This window comes from Homo sapiens, chromosome 5 (assembly GCF_000001405.40).
Source record: "Homo sapiens chromosome 5, GRCh38.p14 Primary Assembly".
Classification (NCBI taxonomy): Eukaryota; Metazoa; Chordata; class Mammalia; order Primates; family Hominidae; genus Homo; species Homo sapiens.
The window spans coordinates 132,225,684-132,252,357 of record NC_000005.10 but is presented as its reverse complement, the minus strand read 5'-3'; the positions used below and the strand labels follow the sequence as shown (position 1 = coordinate 132,252,357).

The 26,674-nt window shown below is 46.9% G+C and overlaps 1 protein-coding gene across 9 annotated transcripts in view, besides 4 other annotated features; it reads left to right on the top strand.

The window, feature by feature from the left end:
• Window positions 365-864: an enhancer, noted in NCBI's record as "H3K4me1 hESC enhancer chr5:131587187-131587686 (GRCh37/hg19 assembly coordinates)". NCBI's record gives its function as "activates a minimal SCP1, AML or CMV promoter by ChIP-STARR-seq in primed H9 embryonic stem cells {active_cell/tissue: H9 hESC(primed)}" and the evidence as "EXISTENCE:reporter gene assay evidence [ECO:0000049][PMID:30033119]".
• Window positions 865-1,366: an enhancer, noted in NCBI's record as "H3K4me1 hESC enhancer chr5:131586685-131587186 (GRCh37/hg19 assembly coordinates)". NCBI's record gives its function as "activates a minimal SCP1, AML or CMV promoter by ChIP-STARR-seq in primed H9 embryonic stem cells {active_cell/tissue: H9 hESC(primed)}" and the evidence as "EXISTENCE:reporter gene assay evidence [ECO:0000049][PMID:30033119]".
• Window positions 24,159-24,388: a silencer, noted in NCBI's record as "silent region_16313". NCBI's record gives its function as "represses an Ori minimal core promoter by ATAC-STARR-seq in GM12878 lymphoblastoid cells {active_cell/tissue: GM12878}" and the evidence as "EXISTENCE:reporter gene assay evidence [ECO:0000049][PMID:35858748]".
• The window catches only part of P4HA2 (prolyl 4-hydroxylase subunit alpha 2), a 37,707-nt gene continuing 35,537 nt past the window's right edge, over window positions 24,505-26,674 (top strand). For 3 of the 9 annotated variants that reach the window (NM_001365681.2, NM_001365677.2, NM_001017974.2), the window contains exon 1: window positions 24,505-24,568. The gene's annotated coding sequence lies outside the window, so the exon portion shown is untranslated. Of the gene's footprint in view, window positions 24,569-25,099; window positions 25,662-26,674 lie in introns of those variants that run through there. The other 6 variants (NM_001142599.2, NM_001142598.2, NM_001365680.2 and 3 more) reach the window with 5 other exon arrangements.
• Window positions 24,529-24,788: a silencer, noted in NCBI's record as "silent region_16312". NCBI's record gives its function as "represses an Ori minimal core promoter by ATAC-STARR-seq in GM12878 lymphoblastoid cells {active_cell/tissue: GM12878}" and the evidence as "EXISTENCE:reporter gene assay evidence [ECO:0000049][PMID:35858748]".

The window sequence follows — 26,674 nt, the reverse complement described above, 5'->3', positions numbered from 1 at the left end:
GCTACTTCCATATTTCTTCCTCCCATCCTTCTTTTTTTTTTTTTTAATAGCAGCTAGAACGAGCTTGGAGCACTTTCATATTTCTACGTTGCCAATAAAATAAAAAAGGAAGAAATGTGAAAATAGTGTTTCAAGAATTATGGCATTTGTTACTTCTGCTTTGTTTATTTATTCATCAGATATTTTTGAGAGCCTCCTATGTGTCAGGCACTGTTTTAGGCCTCAGTGTTAAACTATTAAGTTTTATTTATTTATTTACTTATTTATTTATTGTTATTATCTTTTAAAAAGAGACGGGGTCTCACTATGTTGTCCAGGCTGGTCTCAAACTCCTGGGCTCAAGCAATCCAACCACCTTGGCCTCCCAAAATGCTGGGATTACAGGCATGAGCCACTGTGCCAGGCCTTAAGTCTTTATAATACATATTTAAAATGGATAGCCTCATTTGGAAATAACTTCAAAGATTTAAATTCCAGTCTTCCTGGTTCTTCGTCTCAGGAGGGACCCCCATAACTCCTGATGCCCATGATTTTCTCACTGGTATAGATTAGACCTCTGTCTCTTGATCCTGAGGGGTCCTGGGGGCTGTGATTCAGATTGGCAGAGGTGGTGAAGCTCTCCTCAGGAGTCTGGCTAGCATAGGCCTGTCGCTAGCCTATCCTCCCTGCCCCATCCTTTCTATCTCTTACGATTGGCCCTCTCCCCTGCAGTGCCAGCTCCTTTAGTCACTGATTGGTCTTGGTGAAGTGCCCTGCCCCGTGGTGCCCAGCACTGCCCAGTGGTGACTGAGTCACAGGCTGGCGGGGACTGTTCAGGCTGACCTCACCTCCAGGCCTGGCCATAGGACGCCAGCTGTGGCCACTGGGTATGAGCCTGGCCGCCTGTGTTGCTGGGAGAGTCAGGCAGAGCCATGTCGCCGAGTCCAGTAGCTGCCAGCTGGCCGAGAGGTCTGGGAATCCAGGTGCAGGGGGCCATAGGGATTAAAGTCGGAAGAGCCAGATCCAGGCCTGTGAGGGTGAAGCTGGGCTGAGGTTGCTGGAGGCTCTTGAGAGAATGGATTGGAGCAGGGCCCATGAGTCAGCCTCATGTCCTGGGTGGCTATTTTCTTGGCTTCTAAGAAAATCAAAATTCTTTCTCACTTCCCCTCCCAAGACTAGGTCCATAGCTGTGTAGATTCAGGATCAGCAGTGTGGAGTTGGAGGCAGAGCTTTCATTGGGAGTGGGACTGAAATCCTCACACCCTGCATCTCTCATACCCACCCGCAATGGTAAGAGCATTCACAGGACTTGAGCTTCCAGCAAGAGGATGCCTGATCAAATTGTTTGCCCCCTGTGAAATCACCATATTAATGGGAAGATAGGCTTGCTTAGGAACAACGGAGTCTGTGCCTCTCCTGCAGGAGAAACCAGGAGCTCTAAGAGAATGTATAATGAGAACTTCTATGTGTGGAGAGTTAAACAAGAAGCTGTCTCATCCCAGGGAAGATGAAGAGAAAATGGCGGATCTGGGCTTGAAGTGCACACAGTGTTGGAAAAGGCCCCACCTAAGGCTCTAGGACCAGCAGTCCCTGAGAAGTAGCTGTGTGTAGGATTAAGACAAGCTGACTGCGGAGAGCTGTGACATTGGGCATTCAAGCATGAAGCATTGTTGGCCCAGAGAGGGTGCACAAGCATTCTCCCTCAGAGAACCATGGTGTTCCAGAGCCAGAGAGAGATGGAGAGCTTCCACAATCCTTGTGAAGATCTGTTATCCTAACACCAATATATCCCCTTTAAGAAAATGGTGGCCCCCTGTAAATTGTCAATATAGCAAATTGGCTCCCATAATATATTGAAACACTATTACCACCTTGGGGATTCTTTTTCAAATTACAAGCTTGATTTAATATAAAACGTAATGATTAATACATTAGATTAAAAGAAGAAAGGAATCTTGTAATTATCTCAAAAGGCATTGACAAAATTCATCAGCCATTCACACGATAAAAGTTAGAAAACCATGAAGAGAGGAAATGTTCTTAACATTTTAAAGAACAGATATAAAAAACCAAAAGCCAGCATTAGATTTAACAGTCTAGGAAGTTCTATTAATGGGAGAATCCAATGTCCTCTTCACTACTGTTGTTCAGTGTTGCTCTGGAAGTCCTAACCAGGACAATAGGGTGAAAAGAAGAAATAAGGGAGAAGTAAAGGAAGTAAGTAATAGAGTCAAAATGATCATTATTTGCAGATATTATGATTTTCCTTTCATAATATCCAAGAGAATCAATTGAAAAATGATTATGACCAGTAGGAGAATCCAGTAGGAGGGAGCAGAGTAGAATAAATTAATATATGTATATAGATTTTAATAGCTTTTAAGAGTGCTAAGTCACAACTGATTGGAAAATGTGATGAAAACAATTTACCATTCACGATAATGGTGAAACATTAAAAATATCTAGAAATGAATTTTGAGTACATCAAAAGCCTATAAACTTTTTTCTTTTTTATTTCCTTTTTCTTATCCTAGTGGTGGTGAGAACAAAGGGCCTATGAACTTTGATCTAGGATAGATTTAAAAGAAGACAAAAGGTATGCAGGCATATGTCATGTTTCTAGAAAAATCAATATTTTTAATTTATTAGTAAATTCAATGCAATTCCAAACAAAATTTGTTTGGGTGGGAGGAATTGACAAGATGATTCTAAGGATCAACTGAAAAGTAAGTATGAAAAAAACCCACAAATATTGGATTAAGAGACTAATAAAGTAAGATTTGCCCTATAAGTATCAAAGTATGCAATAGAGCTAAAATAATTAAGAATGTGATAGCAGCATAGGAAAAGACGAATATGTTAGTGGAACAAAAGAGAGTCCATAGCATGAGATAAAGAAAACATTTTAATTCAGGGAATAAAAGGTAGTTTACTCAATAACTCATGTTGGGGCCATTTACTATTATGCATAAAAAATAAGGCTATAATTCTATATGCTATATAATTTCCCACATTATAAAGTAAATCCCAAATGGATTCATGATCTATATATTTTAATTTTCCCAATGTGAATGCTTTTATAAACTACTCATATGCTTTACCAGAAATGACTGGTAAAAAAATATATAGATTAATATTTTTATAATCATGGTGCTACGGTTTGAATGTGTCCCCCAGAGTTCATGTGTTGGAAACTTAATCTACAATGCAACAGTGTTGAGAGGTGGGCTCTTACGAGGTGATAAGGTCATGAGGGCTCTGCCCCCAATGGATTAATGCCAACAGAGGTGGGTTTGTTATTGTGGGAATGTGTCCTTGTGAAGGAGGAGCTCGGTCCCCCTTTGTCTCTCTCACCCTCTAGCCTTCTGCCATGGAATAATGCAGCAAGAAGGCCCTTGAAAGATGCTGGCACCTTGATATTGGACTTCTCAGCTTCCAGAATTTTGAGAAATAAATTTCTTTTCTTTATAAATTACTCAGCTATTGGTATTCTGTTATAGTAACTTGAAGCAGACTAAGACTTGAGGTGAGAAACATCTCTTTCGTGAAGATAAATACTTGAAATATGTTTTCCTGTTACATATAGATTTCAAAAATCAGAGAAATATGCTGCAAACTGTTGGTAGTTTTTGTTTCTGGGGATGGTATTTTGGGACATTTACTTTTTCTGAGTTATATATTTGTACAGTGTTTTAATTTCATATAAATAAATTTTACTGTTTGTAATTAGAAAAATGAAGATAATAAAAAGGAAAATAAAGACAACAGAAGGACAAATACTGCTTCTTATGTAAGAACCTTACAATAATACACTTCCATTTACTTCTCCCTTCTTTTTTGCTAATGTTGTTGTGCGTTTACCTCTGTATTTGCTATAAACTCCATAATAAATACTCATTATTTTTGCTTTAAACAGTCAACTGTCTTTTAAGTAATTTAAAAAACAAGAAAACCTATTTTCTATTTACTTGTTAGGTTTACTGGTAGCACTTGTTCTTTTGTTTAGAGCTGAATTTCCAACAGGTATCAATGAGCCACCTCAGCAGAGAAATGGCTTATTTCCCTTCAGCCTTAAGAACTTCCTTTAGGCCATGTGCGGTGGCTCATGCCTGTAATTCTAGCACTTTGGGAAGCCGAGACAGACGGATTGCCTGAGCTCAGGAGTTCCAGACCAGCCTAGGCAACAACAGTGAAACCCTGTCTCTACTAAAATACAAAAAATTAGCCGGGCATGGTGGCGTGCGCCTGTAGCCCCAGCTACTCAGGTGGCTGGGGCAAGAGAATCGCTTGAACCCAGGAGGCAGAGGTTGCAGTGAGCTGAGATCGCACCACTGCACTCCAGCCTAGGAAACAGAGTGAGACTCCGTCTCTGGAAAAAAAAAAAAGAAAGAAAAAAAAGAACTTCCTTTAACATTTCCGGTAGTACAGACGGACTGGTGATGAATTCTGTCAGCATTTTTTTAAGATCCCGAAGTATTTTTATTTTTCATTCCCCACCCTGTCCCCCAACCTTTTTTTGTTTTTTTTTTTTTTTTTTTTGGAGACAGAGCCTTGCTCTATCCCCCAGGCTGGAGTGCAGTGGCACGATCTTGGCTCACTACAACCTCTGACTCCCGAGTTCAGGTGATTTTCATGCCTCAGCCTCCCTAGTAGCTGGGATTACAGACACCTGCCACCACGCCCAGCTAATTTTTGTATTTTTAGTAGAGACGGGGTTTTGTCATGTTGGCCAGACTTGTCTGGAACTCCTGACCTCAGCTGTTCCATCCGCCTCAGGCTCCCAAAGGGCTGAGATTACAGGTGTGAGCCACCGTGCCCAGCCTCTCATTCCTCTTTTAAAGATAACTTCTCTGGATATAGAATACTAGGTTGCTTTTTTTTCTCATAGATTATTTAATATTTAATATATAATTCCTATAATTTTATTGTTTTCTGTCTTGCATTACTCCTGCTAAGAAATAAATGGTGATTCTAATCGTTGTTTCCCTTATGTAATGTGCCTATATTCTTTTATCACTTCTAAGATGTTCTATTTGGTTTTAAGATTTTGACTATGATGTTCCTAGATGTAGTTCCCTTGTTTTTATCTTCTTTGGAGTTTTAAAACCCCAGCTTCTTGGGATGGTGTATTAATAATTTTTTAAATCAAATATAGAATTTCATTTACCATTTAAAAGAATTTTTTTTGCCCCAATCTCTTTCTCCCCTTTCCTTCTGGGACTCCAATTTTATGTATATATTAGATTACATGATACTGTTTCAAGGTCACTTTGTTGAGGCTGTGTTTGTATTTTTCAGTCCTTTTACTTTTAGATGTTTTCCATAGTCTTGACTTCAAGTTCATTGATCTTTTCATTTGTAGCATCCAGTCTACTCATAAGTTTATCTAGTACATTTTCCATTTTGTATATTGTATTTTTCAATTCTAGAATTTTCATTCAGCTCCTTTTTTATAGTTTTCATTTCTCTGCTGAGATAGCTCATCTGTTCATTTATTATCTCTATCTTGTAATTTAAACTTCTTTAACATATTTATAATAGCTATTTAAAGTCCTCATCTGCTAGTTCCAATATCTGTGTTACCTCTGGATCTATTTCTGTTGATTATTTTTTGTCCTGGTTATGAATCATATTTTCCTGCTTCTTCATATGTTTAGTAATGTTTGACTGTATATTAGGAATTGTGAATACTTCATTGTTAAGAGTTTGGATCATGTTTAAAGAGTGTTGAGTTTGTTTTATTAGATAGTAAATTCACTAGAGGCTCAATTTGAGCCTGAGGCTTGGTTTTAGGCTTTATTATGGCAGGTCTAAGATACTGCGTATTACAGGCACAGAGTAGCCCTATTCTTAAAGCGTGGACTTTCTTGGGTTTTCATTGAGTGCTCAGGGTGTTCAACAAAGTCTTTTCACCTTGTTGATCAGAACAGATCTCAGAATCATGAGCCCTCTAGAATCCCCACTTAGTTCTTAGACCCAGAGAAGTTTTTTTTGTGTGTTTTTTGTTTGTTTGTTTGTTTGGTTGTTGTTTTTAATCCACTAGGCCTTATGGAATCTTGCTCTGCATGTGAGGCTTAGACAAAGCCTCAGGAGCACCTCTGTATAGCTTTCCAGAGCTCCTTCTTTGTGTAGCTCCTTCTTCTTTGATACCTTATCCCACAAATTTCAGCCACCTCAGCGTCTGCTATCTATGATCTTTGTCTCCTTCACATGATGAGACCATTGTTCTCTCTCTCTCTCTCTCTTTGGAGACAGGGTCTCACTCTGTTGCCCAGGCTGGAATGCAGTGGCACGATTATGGCTCACTGCAGCCTCAACCTCCTGGCCTCAAGTGATCCTTCTGCCTAAGCCTCTGGAGTAACTGGTACTACAAGTGTGCACCACAATGCCTGGCTAATTTTTTAACTTTTGTAGAGACAGGGTATTGCTATGTTGCCCAAGCTGGTCTCAAACTCCTGGCCTCAAGGGATCCTCCCACCTCAGCCTCCCAAAGTGCTAGGATTACAGACATGAGCCACTGTGCCTGGTGCCATTGCTTTCTGGGCACCACTTCCTTATGCCATGGTTTGGAAAGTATCCTAGGCAAAGCACTTTCCCTTTTGTTTCCCTTCTCTCAAGGACAAAGGCTATTTGATGTTCAATGCCTATAATCACTGGCTATAAATATTTCGAGTTTTATGGTTGTTTACAGTGGGGAGGGAAGTTTATTACCAACTTATCAGTTATGGTTGGAACCTAAGGAAAGTTTGAAAACTAAAAGAAGAAAGAAAAGGAAAAGAAAATAGGGACCCTTAATTCAAGATGTGGATCTGATGTCATAAATGTCTAAGAGTCTGAGCTTCATCTCAAAGCAGCTGGGCCAGTTGAGCATACCCTGCTGTAGTTCTTTCTAACCTGGCATCAGAATTGGACTGAATAAAATGTACAGTTCTGGCCACTATAGCAGGTTGTGTCAGACTTATCCTTCTGCTGAAAACAACTATAAAAGTTGGACAAAATGTATAAAACAACTATTTGAAGGCATTTGAGAACAACCAATACAGCTAAGAATTGAGGAGTTGTGATCCTGGAGAAAAGGGAATAATGTGTAGTGAGTTCCACATTTACCTTTGCTTTTTCCCTAGGGGCATTTCACACATTGTTACTTGAGGGAATAGGGACCAAGCAGAAAGCATCAGTCTTACCAGACTGAGGATACAAAGGTCAGAGTTCAGGGCTGCCGAAGAAGATGGAAATTAAGAAGGAAAATTCCAGAAGGTAGGAAAGAAGAGAGAAGGAGCCCAATAATTGCATGCAAATTCCTCCAACTTTATTGGCTTTTTTTTGAGACAGGGTCTTGCTTTGTTGCCCAGGCTGGAGTGTAGTGGTGTGATCTTGGCTCACTGCAGCCTCCCTCAACCTCCTGGATTCAAGCCATCCTTCCACGTCAGCCTCCCAAGTAGCTGGGACTACAGGCACATGCAATCATGCCTGGCTGACTTTGCTTATTTTTTTGTGGAGATGAGGTCTCACTATGTTGCCCAGGCTGGGCTTGAACTCCTGGGCTCAAGCAATACTCCAGCCTGGGTCTCCTAAAGTGTTGGGATTACAGGCATGAATCACCATGCCCACCCTATTGGCCTACTTTTAGCCTATCAGGCTAAAGAACTGAGCAAATTGTAGTAGTCTTAAAGTGTTGGGGAGACAAATTGGAATTCAACTTCTATCAAGGTAGAGAGGCCTTGGTAAATGCGTAGGTGTTCTGCTAAGTCCCAGAAGGGTCACACACTAGGAGAGAGGGTCACATCCTAGGAATAAGAGATATGTCCTAGGACAAAAAAGAACCACACCAGCCAAACCATGACATAAACCAAAGCCTTGACAGGAGTAGGGTATTTATTTGGTACTCTGCCTTCCAGAAGTCAACTTAATTCTCTCTTCCTGGATGAATACAACATCACCCAGAGACTTTCCAACTTTTCATCCAAAATGTGTGTCATCTAATAGAGAAGTATGAGACATGCTAAAAAACAAAACAAAACACAAACAAAAAAACAGGGCCAAATGACTAAAAATCAAGAGAAAAGGCAGACAATGGAAATAGACCCACAGGTGTTTCAGAAATGAGAGACTTCCAATAATTATGATGAAAATGTTCAAGAAAATAGAGGGAAAGTAAAAAAAAAAAAAGATGAAAAGCTAGAGAATTTAAATATAGAATTGCCAGAATACTGATAAAGATAGCAGATAGGAGGCAGGACTAGCTTGCAGCTCCTGCTCAGACAAACAGAGCAGTGTGTGGAGACTCACATCCTGAACTTTTGCTCCAAGAACTACTGCAGGAACATACCAGGAAAGCCAAGAGAATCCACAGACCCTTTGAAGGAACTGGATCACTACTGCAGGCTCCTCGAGATGCAAAAAAACTGTGAGTCTGCATGTTTTCTCAGCAGGGAGGGTCATGGTCTGGGACAAGTTCTCAGCCCTGGGCACTGGCTACCTGGAAATAGACTCAGTACTGTTGTGGGGCCATGGTGGGAGTGAGATTGGCCTTTAGGACTGTGGGTTGCACAGGAGCAGGGTGAGGCCTGTGACTGCCAGCTTTCTCCCACTTCCCTGGCAAACCTGTATGACTCAGCAGAGGCAGCCACAATCACCCCCGGGAGTATAACTCCATCGGACTGGGAACAACACCCCTATCCCCCACAGCAGCTGCAGCAAGCCCTGGCCAAAGAGAGGCTGAGCTCTGAAATGCATATCCCTGCCCCCACCTGATGGTCTTTCTCTACCCACCCTGGTAGCCAAAGACAAAGGTCATAATCTCTTGGGAGCTCTATGGCCCTGCCCACCGTCTTAACCAGGTGTCCCTAGGGCAAATTTGCATTCTCCTTATAGGACTGCAGCAGATGTGCTCTTGAAAGCACCACCTCCTGCATGGAGGCCAACCAACACAAAACCAAGTACCCTCACAGAGTCCATTTCACTCCCCTGCTACCTCCACAGGAGCAGGTGCTGGTATCCATGGCTGCAATACCTGAAGATGGATCATATCACAGGACTCTGCAGACACTCCCCAGTACCAGCCTGTAGCCCAGTAGCTCAGCTAGGTGGCTAGACCCAGAAGAGCAAAAACAATCACTACAGTTCAGCTCTCAGGAAGCCCCATTCCTAGGGGAAGGGGGAGAACACCACATCAAGGGAACACCCCATGGGACAAAATAATCTAAACAACAGCCCTTGAATTCCAGACCTGCCCTCTGACATAGTCTACCTAAATGAGAAAGAACCAGAAAAACAATTCCAGTAATATGACAAAACAAGGTTCTTTAACACCCCCAAAAGATCATACCAGCTCACCAGCAATGGATCCAAACCAAGACAAAATCTCTGAATTGCCAGAAAAAGAATTCAGAAGGTCGATTATTAAATTAATCAAGGAGGTACCAGAGAAAAGTGAAGTCCTACTTAAATAAATCAAAAACATGATACAGGATTTGAAAGGAATAGTGTCAATAGGGATGGTAGCAGTTCTTCTTTGAATGTCTGATAGAATTCAACAGTGAATCCACCTGGTCATGGATTTTTTGTTGTTGTTGGCAATTTTTTTTTTTTTTTTTTTTTTAAGAGATGGAGTCTCGCTCTGTCACCCAGGCTGGAGTGCAGTGGTATGACCTTGGCTCGCTGCAACCTCCGCCTCCCAGGTTCAAGCAATTCTCCTGCCTCAGCCTCCCGAGTAGCTGGGACTATAGGCGCCCGCCACCATGCCCAGCGAATTTCTTTTGTATTTTAGTAGAGACGGGGTTTCACCATGTTGCCCAGGCTGGTCTCGAACTCCTGAGCTCAGGCAATCCGCCCACCTTGGCTTCCCAAAGTGCTAGGATTATAGGCGTGAGCCACCGTGCCCAGCCAGCAATTTTTAAAATTACCATTTAAATCTCACTGCTTGTTATCGGTCTGTTGAGAGATTCTATATCTTCCTAGTTTAATCTAGGAGGGTTGTATATTTCCAGGAACTTAACCATCTCCTCTAGGTTTTCTAGTTTATGCATGTAAGGTCTTCATAGTAGCCTTGAATAATCTTTTGTATTTCTGTGGTATTGAAGTGGCTTCATTGTCTGGGGAAATACCCTAGGTTCGTCTTGCACTGAGAAGATTAACAACACAGACACACACACGTGAAGCAGGTTAAGGAGGGGAAAGTTTAATAGACAAAAAAGAAGAGAGAGTGAGCTTTCTCATACAGGGCAGGTGGGATGCGATCCATTTTATAGAGAGGCTTGAGGAGGCGGTGTTTGATTTACACAGGGGCCAGGGGATTGGTTTGACCAGGTGTAAATGGTTACATAGCCCGAGAAGAAATTGGCCATCCCACCTTAATCTTTTATTATGTAAATGTGACCTCTACCTGTCCGGTGCCATTTGAACCTTGATTCCTCATTGTACCACACATAAAATTAATTTAAGATGGATCATAGACTGAACTATGAAACAATCAAGCTTCTAAAGGAAACCATGGAAGCATAGTTTCATGACCTCTGGGTAGGGAAACATTTCTTAAATGGGACATAGAAAGCACTAGCCAAAATATAAAAGATTAATATGTTGGATTTGTAAGAATTAAGAACTTTTATTTATCAAAAGATCCTATTAGGAGAATGAACAAGCCAAAGCACAGATTGAGAGGGAATATTTGCAATACATATATCCAACAACAAACTCATATGGAGAAAATATATAGACTTCTACAATTCAGTGAGGAAAATGCAGAAATCCCAATAGGAAAATGGACAAGGACTTGAACAGTCATGTCACAAGAAATAACTAATAAACACCTAAAAAGATGCTCAATATCACCAGGGAAATGTTCTTTTAAATTGCAATGAGATATTGCTACACACCCACCAAAATGACTGAAATTGGAAAAGCTAACAATAACAAATGTTGACAAAGATATGAAGCAACTGGAACTCTCATTCATTGCCATTGGGAATGTAATTTTGTTCATCCATTTAGAAAAATGGTAATATCTACAATAGCTCAATATATGCATGTCTTATGACCTAGGAATTTCACTCCTGGATTTTTATTATATTTAAATAAGTGCTTGTGCCCACCAAAAGACATGTGCAAACATATACAAAACAGTTTTATTTAACATGACTAAAAACAACCCAATGTTCATCAACAAAAATGGATAAATTGTGTTATATTCAAACAATGGAATACCACATAGCAATGAAAAAGAATGAGGAACTATTACAAACAAGATAGATGGATATCACAACCATAATGTGGAGTATAAGAAGCCGACCCGAAAGAATATATATTGTATAACTTCACTTTTATAAAGTTCAAAATCTGACAAAACTAATCAAAAGTGAACAAAGAAAAAATAGTGCTTAACTTTGGGAGAGTTTACTGACTATGAAAAGGTACATGGAAGCCCTCTGGTATTCTGGAAATAGTCTATATTTTTATGTGGGAGGTAATTATGTGAATTTATATGTAAGCAAAACACATTGAGCTGTATATTCAGACATGTTTAGTTTACTGTATGTTAACTGTATCTTAATAAGTAAGTTTTTAAACAAAAGCACACTGGCTGCCCATGCCTCTCTACCCCTGCTAGTGGGGATTCGTGAGGCCCGAAGAGGGAGATACTATTAATAGCTTTCCAGTGTATAGAAGATGGGCTCATATTCGCACCCCTAGTTTATGGAGCAGGGCATACCAATTGCAGGTCACACATGGAACCCATTCATGCATTCCTTCTTCCTCTCTCTGCATGCCACTATTGGTTCCCCAAATCAAAGAGGGCTTCCAGGGTGACCTGTGTGTTTGGCCTTGGGGGCTTGTGACAATAAACTGGGGAGATGCATTAGTGTGCTAAGGCTGCCATAACAAAATATCACAGCCTGAGTGGCTTAAACAATAGAAATTCATTTTCTCATAGTTCTGGAGGCCGGAAGTTCAAGATTAAGGTGTCATCAGGGTGGGTTCCTGGTGAGGCCTCTCTTCCTGGCCTGTAGATAGATGGCCACCTTCTTGCTATGTCCTCACATGGCCTCATCTTTGTGCAAATGTGGAGAGATACAACTCTCTTGTCTCTTCCTCTTCTTACAAGGACACCAGTCCTATTCAAGTAAGTCTTCACCCCTGCGACCTCACTTAGCCTTTATCAGCTTTATTAACCTTTTTATAGGTCTTATCTCCAAATGCAGTCACATTTAGGTAAGGGCTTCAACATATGAATTTTGAGGCTATGCAATTCAATCCACAGAAGGAGCTGATTTACTTTTTACACCCATGTCAATTTGGCCCCCTCCACCCCACTGATCTCAGAGCATTTCCTGGGGGTCACCTCAGTGTGTTCTGCAACAATCCTCTGCCTCTGAGCCAGACTGACAGCTCTGCCCTGCCACCCATTGCTACTTCTGCTGTCCATGGCTCTGGGAGGCCTCTGCTCTGCTGGAAGTATCATCTGTGTTTGTCACCACTGGGGAGAGATGCTGTTTACTGTTGATACCCCCAGCCCAGTCCCAATGGTGGTGGGGTGTATACTCTCTCATTAGGCACTTCCCTCTACTTCCTAAACACAGCAAGGCCCAGAGAGGGATGAGGCCCTGCCTGGCCACCGTAGGTCTCCGTGGGAATGAGCCATTCCCTCTCCCAGGCTTTGCTCATTCTATCTCCTCTGCTGCAATACCATTCTCCCAGACCTCCAACACTTCCCCTGGCTGACTATGCAGGGAGACCCACACCTCATCCTCCTACCTGACCACTCGGCAAGTGAGTCTCCCCTTCTGTAGTCTCCCTCAGCCTCTGCGATTCACCGTCAATTTCTTCATCTGTGCCTCCTCTCCCCCCATAAAACAAAACAAACAAACAAACAAACAAAAAACAACATGAGCTCCATGCAGGCAGGGTGTTTTTCTGACTCATCTCTGTGTCCCTGGGTACCCAGGACTGGACACAAGGGAGGTGTCAGGGGATGTCTGTTGACTGACTGAATGTGAGTAAGTGAGGGTGTAGAGGGTTCCTGAAGCCCTAGGCTGAGTGACCAAGTATGGAAACCCTGCTTGCCACACTTCAGCATGACCAAGGCAGCTGGTCTTCTCCTTCAAAGGCAGTGCTGAGGCTTGACAGGTCATAGAGCCAGGCCTTCATGTCTAGGCTGCAGACAGCTTCCTCAAAGTCCATCTCCTCTTCCCTACTGATCTTTTCCTGCTACTCCCCATTGGTTGAACCCAACCAGAAGCTGCAGGGCAGGTGAACCTGTTGATGCTATCCATATAGGTCAGCAGTCAGGGCGCAGAGCAGGGGAAAGAGGAGACAGGAGAGGAGATCTGGAAGGGTAAGCAGATGACATCTGTCAAGTGTTAGGTAACACTTGGTACAGGGAGAGTGCTCCATAAATTAGTTGTCCAATCACAGAAGCATCCCAGAGCATCATAGAAACCCAGATGAGGACTGCCCATCCTGCTTCTCTGGCTCTTCTCCTCCAGGAGCTCCTCTCCACAGAGCCAGGATATTCTGGGTATGTTCAGAGTTCAAGGTCTCCCCATCTCCTTTCCTAACTTCACTGCATTACTAGTCCTTGGTGTTTCCTTAGGGCTACTGGCTCCTATGGCCTGAGGCTTCCACAGCCTGAGGCTTCCCAAGGCTACAAGTCAACTTAGCTGACCATGAAGGCCCCTGATCACTATGGGCTGAGGAAAGGATCTGGGGTCTTCCCAATATCCTCCCTGCCTCCTCAGCCAGTGGAGGTCCCAGCATTGGAGTCATTCCCCAGGGCCTGGAAAACATCTCTCCCTTCCCGTTGCTCATGATTATGCAGGCCTAGTCACAGGTCTCAGCTAAACCTTGGCAGGTTGGAAGGATGGGGCACCAAGTGGAGGGGCTTTTTGAGCAAGGCTGGGGCTGCTCCTTTGAGTGAGCCCTGTTGAGCTCCATGCACCCTCTGGTGGCCAACCTCATTTTTGCAACTACAGCTCTGGACAAGAAGGAAGCAGCTCCCCTAAAAAGATTCTCCCAGAAGGCCTCACACACCTTTGCCCTGGGACAAAAATAGCTGTTGGTGCCCCAGGAGAGAGTGCAGAGAAAATTCCAGAACTTGATGAGGGCAGGGTGTCAACCTGGCCTACAGCTGTTGGGTGACCACTGGTGTCAACCTGGCCTACAGCTGTTGGGTGACCACTGGGGTGAGAGGGCAGTACTTGCCCCCAAAATTGCAGCCACCAATGACAGCATCTAACGACCCAGCCAGTTTGAGGAAGCCATCTTTCCACCTTCACCACCTTGATCATTCACTCTTCAGCCAAGAAGATGTACTGTCCAAGCCATCCCTTCTCCCATGGGCTCTGATTTCTACAGATGATAGAGGTAGACATCTTCCTGATTCCAAGTCTGCAACTAGCTGGTTCAGGGTCAGAGTAAGTAATAAGGCCAGAGCCTGGTCCAAAGTCAATATCAGGCTCTGGTTCAGAGTCAAGATTAAGGGCAGAGCCAGAGGACAAAGGACAGAACCTCCTCCTTCTCATGTGAAAGGCCAGATCCACACGCTTGCGTATGCATGTGAATCCCTCTGTGCGTGAGCATATAAATGTGTGTGTGTGTGTGCGTATGTGTGTGTGTTTGTGGGTGAGAGCCCTCTTACTAGAGGCTATGGCCAAGTTGCTCTGTTTTTCAGGCACTAGAAGCTCAGGGATTATCAAGCTTCTCACAGGTTTATGCAAATGTTTGAAACATGAAAAAAATATAGAAAGCTATAAAAAATGTAAATACTAAATATAGTAAATGTTAACAGTATGTCATAGTCATAGTCAACTGAAGTTCAGCCATGTTCTTGTGTGGTCAAGTTTAAAATGTATTTATGTGGGATGTGGGTGTGTGGAATAGGTTTGATGTGGAATGAGGTAGTCAGGACCTTTGGAGGAATGAGTGCCCTGGCCTCCTTGTGGTGGGTAAGAGTCCCAGGGCAGTGTACTGCAGGGCCACAAGGCAGGGCTGACTAGCAAGTTCAAATGCTGGTGTCTACTGAAGGGAAGGGGAGATCAGAGCTGCAACTGGAGCTGACACTAGCAGGGCAGTTGAGGGCAGGAAAGAGGCCACAGGAGGGTTTAGGGTCCTTGAGACAGGAGTGAGCAGGCCTCAGCCACACCAGTGATTCAGGCTTTTGTGATTATGTGGTAGCAGACTGGGATTAGGGCTAGCCACTGACAGCTCATGTGGTGATTTTTTTTTTTTTTTTTTGAGACGGAGTCTTGCTTTGTCACCCAGGCTGGAACGCAGTGGCGTGATCTTGGCTCACTGCAGGTTCTGCCTCCTGGGTTCAAGCGATTCTTCTGCCTCAGCCTCCCGAGCAGCTGGGACTACAGGCATGCACCACCATGCCCACCTAATTTTTGTATTTTTAGTAGAGATGAGGTTTCGCCATGTTGGCCAGGCTGGTCTCGGTCTTGAACTCCTGACCTCATGATCCACCCACCTTGGCCTCCCAAAGTGCTGGAATTACAGCTGTGAGCCATCGCGTCTGGCCAATTTTTTTTTTTAATTAGCAAAAGATACTCCCTTTTCAATTCACTTTATTTCCATCTACTGAAAACTTATTGTAATGACTATGCACATCTATGATGGCTGCCATGTAAATGGAGACATCATTGTGCAGTGCACCAATTGAGCAATGTTTGATTGGGCTAGGATCACTCATGGATAGATTCATGGACACCAGTCTTGCTCCTGAAAGGATATAAGGTGCCTTACAAACAAGTTTCATTATAGCAAAGTGAAGTACATTCATTTAAAAATAGAGAGAGGCAGCCTGGGCAACATGGCGAGACCTCGTCTCTATAAAAATAAATAAAAAATTGGCCACGTGTGGTAGCGTGTACCTGTGGTCCCACCAGAGAGGCTGAGGTAGGAAGATTGCTTGAGCCTGGGAGGCTGAGGCTGCAGTGAGCCTCTGAACTCCAGCCTGTGTTCGTACACTGCACTTCAGCCTGGAGAGAGTGAGACCCAAAAAAAAAAGTGAGTCTCAAAAAAAAAGTGAGTGAGTCTCAAAAAAAAAAAAAAGAAAGAAAGAAAAAAGGAGAGGAAGGGTGGCACCAGGAGAGTTTGTGCTGAAACTGTCATTAAATGTGTGGTTACCTCGCAATGAAAGGAGTCTCGTATTTGAGGAAGCCAGACACTGTGATTAGGATTCCATGTCAGCCTGAAACCCAGAAGAGTGCTGGCGTGTTCTCTGGAGGCAGCCAATTTTCACTCTCTGTTCTTGTACTTTCTGGGGGCTGCCACTAATTTCCTTTAGCAAGGGCTGCTCTAGGGTAACAGGGCTGAGGGGGCTTGGATGACAAGTAGGACCTCATCCCTAAAAGGGAGCTCAGAATGGGGGGCAGAGCATTCAACAAATATTTACAGAATAAATGAATGAGCAAAGGAACATAGCCCTTCCTACTTTACGTCACCAATTCTTAACTATCCACTTCTCTCTCTATTCATTGGCAGTTCCCAGTTCAGGTCACCATCAGCTGTCACCCCGCCTCAGCCAAGCTCTGCTCCTCCTTCTCCCCCACTCACCCACAGTAGAAAGGGTGTTTTTCCCAAATCCCAAATCTTATCCTGCTTCTCCCCTGCCTTTGCTCTGGGGTGTCTGCTCCTTGTCTTCAGCCTCACATCCAAATCCTTTTTTGTGGTCCATGAGGCCTCAGGTGATCTGTCCCTGGGATCTCTGCAGCTTTACCTCTTATTACTCCCCTACTGTCTGCTCCACCATTGTTCCCCAATCAAGAGCTTCCAGGGTTTGGCCTTGGAGGCTTGTGACAATAAACTGGGGAGATGTATTAGTGTGCTAAGGCTGCCATAACAAAATATCACAGCCTGAGTGGCTTAAACGATAGAAATTCATTTTCTCGTAGTTCTGGAGGCCAGAAGTCCAAGATTGAGGTGTCATCAGGGCGGGTACCTGATGAGGCCTGTCTTCCTGGCTTGTAGATGGTCACCTTCTTGCTATGTCCTCACATGGCCTCATCTTTGTGCAAATGTGGAGAGATACAACTCTCTTGTCTCTCCTCTTCTTATAAGGACACCAGTCGTATTCAAGTAAGGCTTCACCTCTATGATCTCACTTAACATTTATTAGCTTTATTAAACTTTTTATAGGACTAATCTCTACTGGCTTCCTGACATTTTAACAAGGCCTGAAAAAAACATTAAAAACACTCAACTTTCAGCCTTTTAGATAGTAGCTACATCAGATGCCCAATAGCTATCCTTAACCCTCACCTTATCACCTATCCCTAATCCCCACCCAGCCCCAATATAGGGTCAGGACTGGGGAAGGAAGGACGAGTGGCTGCTGGACTGTAATAATAATTCTAAAAGTGTGCTTTACAGTATATACATCAAAATATCAGATTTCAAGCACCATGCCTAGCTAACTCCTGCCCTCTGGACATTTGCACTAGTCCAGAGCCTCTCGCCCAGGATGGAGGTGAAGTGAGGAGGAAAGTTGTAGTGTAAACTCACTCTTTACACCATGGGGGGCCTGCCCTGGACTTGCTGTGTAATTGCAGTTCCTGAAGGTCTTGGCATGCCTGTAATGACAACTCAGCCTGATTGCTGACTCTGCTTGTCTTGGGTTGCAGGGGTCCATGGGGGAGGCAAATGGTAGGAGAGTTGTAGCCTGCTTTGGTTTTTGCACCCACCAGATGGGTTCAGGGATTAGGGGGGCACTCTCTAGGGACACACTTGGTCCTGCCCAGCCTGTCCCCACAGGCTTCTGGGGATTCTGCCAGATTATCTTTCCCTTTTCCAGGGTCAACCACCAGGCTATAAGACCAGACTACTGGATAGGCCCTATTTCAGAAGCAGTAGGGCTACTACTAGGTAGCCCCACTCAAGCCACAAGTCTTGCTGTCTGTGTTTGGCCTTGAGTCAAAGCGCCAGCCAACTGAGACACACTCGGTCTTTCCTCAGTCTCTAAGGGGAGAAACCTAGGGTGGGTTGAGCTCCAGTGGACAGCTGCATGCGGAATGTACCGAAGAATACAGATGTGTATCCACATATACAATGCCCTCTGTGTGGCATTGGTTGAACCTGAGGGCCTTGCTCTGGGAAATTCCATGGAAGGCCAGATAGTCGTAAACCCTGACCACACCTCCAGCTGCTGCAGTGGTTCCAGGGCCTGCAAGAGTCATCAGCATTCAGGGAGACTTCAGTGCCAAGCAGTGGAGCTTGCCCCACTCCCCTTCCCCAAAACAGGGATCACAGGTGAGTAGGAGTGGAGGAGGCTGGGGCAGGGCAGGCTGAGTAGGCCCCTGTTTAGAGTTAAGGGCTATGCCACATCCACCCTCCTATTCATCCAATTTCCTGTCCGCCCAGCACAGATGTTTTTACTATCCCTTCTGGGGAAACACCAGGTTCTTCCTTCGGGGTGGGGATGGCAGGCAGACAAGTCCAGACTGCTTCAAGGAGCCATTGGCCAGGGATATTGCCTAGGGACAGCATGGAGGTAGAGCCTCATTTGGCAATGCCCTGGCCATGCTGGGGTGAAAGGTCATAGGCCATGCCTGATCTTGAGCCTAGGAAGGGTCTCTAAGACTGGGTCTAGGTAGGCAGTACCTCCTACTAGTAGCCTTTCCCAGCTGGAAAGGCTTGGGCTTTTCCCTCCCTAGACAAAGTTGCTGGGCGGGCCTCTGCTTATCTACTAGTTTTTATACTAGACAGAGCCCCTTTGATATGTGTGGTCCCTGAATCCCCCGCCTTGACCTCAACTGGTGATCAGCAAATGTTTGTTGAGTGAACACATAAATGAACACCATAGAGCTGTTCCAGAAGGGAGGTATGGCCTTGTTCATACAATGGATTTGGGGAGAAGGGATGTGAATCTCTATAACATGCTGTGATGTGTGGCTGTTAAAGATGGTTGTGGATTCATTAAGTGACACACACTGGGTGTACTCAATGAGGTCTGCTAGAGGCCACAATAGTGGGAATGTCCACTCATTCATTCATGTATTTTTGTTCACCAATTCCTCTCTAGGCTCTGGGCGCCAGACCCTATGCTAGAGCTGGAGACACAGTGATGAACAGGTTAGAGGCAGTCCCCAGGAGGGCCAAATGGTAAATGAAGTAGACATTGAATGAGGTCAGGTAGCATGTGTGAAACTCATCCATGAGGAGCTTTGGGGCCTATGGCAGGATCTGGCTCAGGCTAGACCCAGAAAGCCTTTTGAAAGAAACCACCTTTTGGGAAGAGAATGTTCTAGGCAGGAGGAATAACACATTCAAAGGCCAGGGAACTGAAAAGTGCCTGGAGTGGCTGCAGCATCAAGTTTGAGGCTGTGCATAAGAAGAGAGACCATCAGGGCTGGATAAAAGGGATTGGCAGCATTGGCAAGATTTGTGTCTACCCTTGGGTCCATGGAATACCTTTGAGAGGTTCTATACGGAAATAACATGATGGGAATCACATGGTTACAATGTCACTCTGCCCTGTGTAATGGAGTAAGGATAGAGGGAGCGGAGTAGAAAAGTGGGCTAAGATGGATTGTCCAAGTGAGAGATGGTGGTGTCCTGAATTTGGTCTGCGACAGCAGGGTTGGGAAGAAGTAAGTGAACTGAGAGAGATCCACCAGGTAAGATCTCCAGGGTGGGCATGCAGTGGGAAAGAAAAGGGAAGTGACTGGGAGATGGTGATATTTGCTGAGATGTAGGAAATGCTGGGGCAGAAGCAGTTTGGGTGGTGTGGGCTGTGGTATGGGGGAGATGTTTCATCCTGGCTGAACCTGCAGCTGGAGATGCCCCAAAAGCAGTGGCAGGGGGGTCCCCATACGGGACTACCCCAAACCATCCTGAAATGGTTGGGATTCCAAAGAAAGTAGCACTAAATGCCAGGGTGATCAGTCCAAAGCATTTATTAGGGAAATTTCTCGGTCTCTGAGGGGGCTGCAGTACATCCTGTAGGCAGACAGCGAGACAGGGATGTTCTATCTAGGTATGCCTGCTGCAAGGGGGGTCTGGGTATGGAATTTATATGAGATTTTAAGGAATTTGGCTCAGGGTCGGGGCTAGTTTCTTTCAGTGTTTCGGGCGACCATCTAAACACCTTTATCAGTGCCTGGGAATGTTTAAGGCCCCAGCTTGGGCTCAAGCCTACAGGAAAAAACCTTCGGCTGTCTGGGTCATAGAGTGGTCAAGGCATTTGGTATTTGTCAGGAGAGAGAAAAAAGTGAGGGAACCTGGGGGACCCTACATGAGACAATGAGTTCACTTATCAAGTGGTCATAAAGAAAAGGCTGTGACGATGTGGGTCTGGAGTGGACCCAGGCTGGAGATTCAAAACTGAGTGATAGATTTACATGGGTCCAGAAGCCTTTGAGGGCATGGAGGAATGTCAAATGTAGTGGATTAAATGGTGCCCCCCAACCCCACCAAATTGCATTCATGTCCTACTACCTGGATCCTGTGAATGTGACCTTATTTGGAAAAATGGACCTTACAGATATTATTAAGTTACAGGTTATTAAGGGAGCTGTTGCAGTGGTTCCAGGGCCTGCAAGAGTCATCAGCATTCAGGGAGGCTTCAGTGCCAAACCTCCCTGGATTACCTGGGTAGACCTCCCAATCTGCCCTGGATTACCTGGGTAGACGCTACAGCCAATGACAGTTATTTTTATAAGAAACAGAAGGGCAGAAGATGCAGACACCGAGGAGAAGTGCAGGTGAAGATGGGGCAGAGATTCGTGTGATACAGCCACAAGCCAAGGAACTCCTAAGCCACCAGGAGCTGGAAGAGGCAAGGAGGGGTTCGCCCCTAGAGCCTTCAGAGGGAGCACACCCCGGTAACATTTTGATTTTGGACTTCTGGCCTCCAGAACTGTGAGAGAATAAAATTCTGTTGACTTAAGGCACCTAGTTCGTGGTAATTTGTTGTGGCAACCCCAGGAAATGAATAGATCAGGAGCCCAGATGGAGTCTGAGGGCCTTATGTTAAGGGCTGAGTGGTGAAAGTGAGGCTACAAAGGCAGAGGTCAGAAATGGTATCTTCTGGGTGGAGGCAGGTAGAGGAAAAGGAATATAAAAACAAATGAATGGCCACTTCCTGCAAGGCAGGAAGACCAAGGAGACATGATCCTCAGAAGTCCTGCCCCTTCTCAAGGCTGCAGATTTTTTAGGAGGATATCTGACCAATGCTGTGGTCCTGAGCTGCCAGGACTCCAAGACCCTGCGGAGGTCTTACTCATGCCTTTGGAGACTAAATCTTACAGTGTGGAGCAAGGTATTGAGGAGATATCCGTCCATTCAAGGAGTTAGCAAATATTGAGCCCAGTTCGGTGGTGGGAAAATGGCAATGGACAAATGCATGCATGGTTTATGTACTCCCAGACCTCCCAGGCCAGTCGGGGAAGACGTTACCCAAGCGATCATTCAATTCTATCAACGGTGGCAAGTGTTACGAAGCACACGGGGACATGAGAAGCTGTTATGGGAGGTTTTGTGTGTGTGGTTTTTTTTTTTTTTTTTTTGAGACAGTCTTGCTCTTGTCACCCAGGCTGGAGTGCAATGGCACGATCTTGGCTTACGGCAACCTCTGCCTCCTGGGTTCAAGTGATTCTCCCACCTCAGCCTCCCTAGTAGCTGGGATTACAGACACCGCCATCATGCGTGGCTCACTGCAAGCTCTGCCTCCCGGGTTCATGCGATTCTCCTGCCTCAGCCTCCTGAATAGCTGGGACTACAGGCATGCGCCATCACACCCGGCTAATTTTTTGTATTTTTAGTAGAGACGGGGTTTCATCATGTTAGCCAGGATGGTCTTGATCTCCTGAACTCGTGATCCACCCGCCTCGGCCTCCCAAAATGCTGGGATTACAGGCGTGAGCCACCGTGCCTGGCCATGCCCAGCTAATTTTTGTATTGTTGTAGAGACGGGGTTTCACCATGTCGGCCATGCTGGTCTCGAACTCCTGACCTCAGGTGATCCGTCCGCCTCAGCCTTCCAAAGTGCTGGGATTACAGGCATGAGCCACCGTGCCTGGTCTGTTATGGGAGGTTTTGACCTACTCAGGGAAGTAAGGAAAATCTCTCTGCCTCTGAGGGAATCTGAAGGATTCTGAAGGTTTTAATCAGGGAGGGAAAAATTTTTTCTAGACAGAAGGAACAGCATGTATAAAGGTCTGGGGTGGGGAGGGGGAATGGCCAGTTAGAGAGACTGGAGGAAGTTCGATGTGGTTACAGAAGTGAGCAGAGGCCAAACCATGTGGAACCTTATAAACCACTTTTTGATGTTTCTCAAGATCAGGGCAATTTCCCAGCTGCAAGTAATGGGCTCAGATCTGCATTTTGAGATCATCATGGTTGTAGTGAAGGAGAGATGAGAGGGAACAAAAATGGAGGAGCAGCCAGTCAGGAAAGTGTTGCCATCACTCATGTGAAAAAGATGGAGAGAAGTGGGTGGATTAGAGGGAGATTTAGGGGTAAAATTGAACAGACTTGGGATATAGGTAAATAGGGTCTGGGGATGAGGGAGAGGGAGCTGCCAAGTATGACTCCCAGGCTTCTGGTTAGGTAACTGATGGGAAGTATCTCCTTCAGTACAGCAGTGAAGACAGGATGTGTGGAGGGGGAAGATGTAGGGGGAGAACAATAACTCTGTGTTGGACATGTTGCCATTGAGGTGCCTGTGGACACTCAAGTGGGGATGTACACTGAACAGTGAGTTACATGAATCTGGGGTTCAGCAGTAAGGATAAGGGTAAAGAGAGAAATTTGTGTCACCTGCGTGTAAAGAGAAGCGTGAAGTGGAAAGCCTAGACCTGAGTTTTGAGGAACCCCCAACCTTTACTAATAGGGAGAGGATGCTGAAGAAGCTTGAGCAGAGGTGGCCAGAAAGGATGAGGGGAAACCAAGGGAAATCAGTGTTCCAGAGGGGCTGTGGTCATCGCTGGGTGTCAGACACTGCTCAGGGCCCTGGCAGATGAGGTCTGAAGAACAGCCGTTGAAATTGGAGATTGGAGGCTACAGTTTATTGAGACCTGGTTTGGTGCTGTTAGGGAGCTAGAAGGCTGACTGCAGGGCCTGAAGAGTGGGAGAGACAGCTCCTTTAGGGCCTGAAGAGTGGGAGAGATGTGAGGATGGGGAGACAGCTCTTTCAAGAAATTCCGCTGCGGTTGAGAACAGAGACACTCAGTGGGGTCGAATGAGGGTTTTGTTCCCATAGTAGAGGCTTGAACACATTTACAGGCCAATGGGAAAGATCCAGTTGAGAGCGGGTAGTTGAGCCTTCAGGAGAGAAAAGGGATGTTCCATGGGGCAAACTCCTGAGAAGGGGGAGGAGATGGAAGGAAGCTTCTGTGGATGTAGCAGATGCAGGAGGGTTTGTGTAGTTTTAGCCGGGCTCGAGCCGGTGGCTGACGCAGGCAGGAACAATGGCTCACCCATGTTTTATGTGTATTTCCGTGTGCGTGCTCCTGCTTTCCCCAGGTCTGGGCCGCCTGCCTGGCCCGTGTGCCGTAGGGAATATCCACACTGGGCCTGGGCGGAGGCTGGGCATCTCCCGCTCTGGGCTTGCTCCCTGATGAGATTCTCAGACCGTGCTTCCCCTCATTCATGAGAGGAAGGTTCACAGAGCAGGCGTGGGAACCTGCCTGGCCGCCAGGGCCTCCTCCCGCTCAGGCTGAGGTTTGCTGCATCTCTGTCCTTATTCCCTTCCAGACTGGATTGGCTGAACCAGGTGTCCACTCTTTTTGGCCCATGGCATAAAGAAGGGTTTGGGCAACCCAGTGTGCCCCAGGTTGTTACCGCCCCCCCGCCTCCGCCCCCACCCAGCCTTTGATGGGCCCCCTTCTCATCAATCCATCACCCCTGCACATGCCACCAGGACTGCCTGGACCAGAGCCCGGGACTCTCTGAAACCCACTGAGAGCTCGGCCCTGGGAATGGGCCTCCCAATCTCGGTCTCCAGGGGGTGGGCCCCAGGTCCCTAGTCTTCCTCAGGGTCTTCTCCACTGTTCTGCCTCCTCTCCTGATACCCAGTTCCTAGCCGGGGTGACCCCAGCCTCCCGTAACAGCCTCCTTGTGGTGGTGCTGGGAAGAAGGGGCCCGTGTACCCGGCAGGGCCCCCCAGGCAATGGGCATGAGCGCAGGCAGGGAAATCCGTCAGCCTCCAGGGACGCTCTCCCTACAGCCCCGGCGAGGGGATCGGGTCGTGGCGACCTCTCCAGACGCCCAGGGGCTGGGCAGGAGGGCGGGCCAAGGCCCGCAGGTGGGGGCGCCAAAGCCAGGCGGGCGCGGAGTACGTGCGGTGGGCTGCGGGCGGCATGAAGGGCGCGGGCGGCCAGCTCCGGCTCCGGCTCCGGCTCCGGCTCCCGCGAGGCCGGGTAGCCTGGGCGTTCCCAGGGGTCGCAGAGGACGGCGAACCCCGGCGGAGCCACCGGAGCTGGGGACCAGGACGCAGGCAGGCGTGTGGAGCGTGAGGTGGGGACGTGGCGGCGGCTCAAGTGGGCGGAGCCCCGGCAGCGGCCCGAGGCGGAGTCGCCAAGGGAGGAGGCGCCGAGCTGACCGGGCGACGCCGCGGGAGGTTCTGGAAACGCCGGGAGCTGCGAGTGTCCAGGTGAGCGCCCCGCCCGCTCAGCCGCCAGATCAACCTTAGCGCTGGGGCGCGGGCTGGGGTCGCCAGGCGGTGCGTTCTGCCCGCGCGGGGCTGAGAGTTAGGGGCCGGGGCCGGATCCGGGGCCGGGGGTCGCGCCGCTAGCCGCCAGCAGCGCAGTCCGGGCCGCCACCCTGCACCCTCCGCCCTGTTTCTGCACCCGTCTGGGTTCTTGTGCCGCCGCCCGCAAGCCTTCCCGAGCTCAGGGTGGTGAGGTCAGCGGCGCCCTTCGTGCAGTTCCCTCGGCTGTCGGGCGGGGCTGGGAACTTGGCCGCTCTTCCCTGTCAGGCTCCCGGGAAGTGGCGGCCTGACCCCGGGCTGCCGGCTGTTGGGAGCGGGGGCGCGGCGTCCGCCTGGCCCTGAGGGGCCTCTTCATATTGGCTAAGCCCGTTCTGCACCCTCCCAAGGGCTGGGAGTCCTAGGTCTTGTCCGGGCAGGGTCCAGCTTGGAGCCCATTAGATGGGCCATTGGATCAGAAAGTCTTTTCTCCCCCAGACATCCTTGTGGAACCAGCGTTGTTTTTCCTTGGCAGCTGCGGAGACCCGTGATAATTCGTTAACTAATTCAACAAACGGGACCCTTCTGTGTGCCAGAAACCGCAAGCAGTTGCTAACCCAGTGGGACAGGCGGATTGGAAGAGCGGGAAGGTCCTGGCCCAGAGCAGTGTGGTGAGCGCTGTGCTGGAAGGGAATGCGGGCAGTGGGTACTTGGTAGAGCACTGACTGCCTCCGGCCAGAGGACTTCCCGGAGGAGGTGACCCATGAGCTGGAGTGGTCAGAGGAAGGCTGGCAAAAGGGCATCGTGGACAGAGGAACAGCCTATGTGAGTGGGAGCAGAGACCTTGGCCAATGCCATTCCTTATGGCCTTGTAGTGGAAGCAAGGTGATGGGGAAGGAACACTGTAGGGGATAGCTGTCCACGGACGCTGTCTACAAGACCCTGGAGTGAGATAACGTGCCTGGTACTGTGCCCTGCATGTGTAAGATGCCCAGTTGACCTTCGCAGCAGGAGCCTGGATCAGGGCACTTCCTGCCTCAGGTATTGCTGGACAGCCCAGGTGGGTCCCTGGCCTTTGTATTCTATTTGACTTTAAGATGGTGCAGGAGAATACAAAAAACTATCCGGGCATGGTGGCGCGCGCCTGTAGTCCCAGCTACTCGGGAGGCTAAGGCAGGAGAATCGCTTGAACCTGGGAGGCAGAGGTTGCAGTGAGCCAAGATCGTGCCACTGCACTCCAGCCTGGGAGACAGAGCGAGACTCCATCTTAAAAAAAAAATAAAAAAGAGAGATGGTGCAGGAGAGCATTGGGATCCCTCCCAAGACTGTGACTGTTGTCTTTTGCTGTAGAGTGACACCCGAGATTTGTGCTTCTTGATAATAGACTACCTGGGGCCTCACAGCCCCAGCCCTCTTGTAGGAAATCCTGTCCTAGGAGCAAGGGCTGGAGTCCGTTACGTTGTAGCTTGGGGCATTCTTAAATGTCCCAGACTTTGTGGAGATCCATTGTCCACCTAAGAATTTATAGGATGTTTTTGGGGTCTGCTGCTTGTTCTCAGCCTGTGTCTCATCTGACATTAGGTTCCATAATTTAGTCTCTGTTAAATGAACTAGGATTTCCTTTGGCTTGTACTTAAACTGCCCCTGAGGTGTCCAAGGTGCAGCCTCTCACTGTGGTTCTGGGCCTCAGCGCCCAGTCTCTCTGGTTGCTTCTCCCCACTCACAGAATGTTTGGTCTTTGAATTCTTTTCTTTTAGGGCCTCCTTGTTCTTACACAGCCGAGTGTCCACTGTGTGGCCCAGCCAATGAAGCCACGTAGCAAGGATGGAGTGAGTTGGCTGGGGGCCTCATCCCAAAGATGCTGTCATACTGGATCACCCTAGTTCTCTGAGAGCTCAGCAGGCAGACTTGGTGACAGCTTAGCTGAGGCATTGTCTGTGGCATGTGATAGGCCCTTGTATCCTGTCGAAAGCTCTGCATTGGGGTACTCTAGACAGTGCTTACTTAGTCACCGGTTTAGACTGGCCCCAGCTGATCTCAGTTCATCCCTTGAGTGCCTTCTGCCTGTTTGGC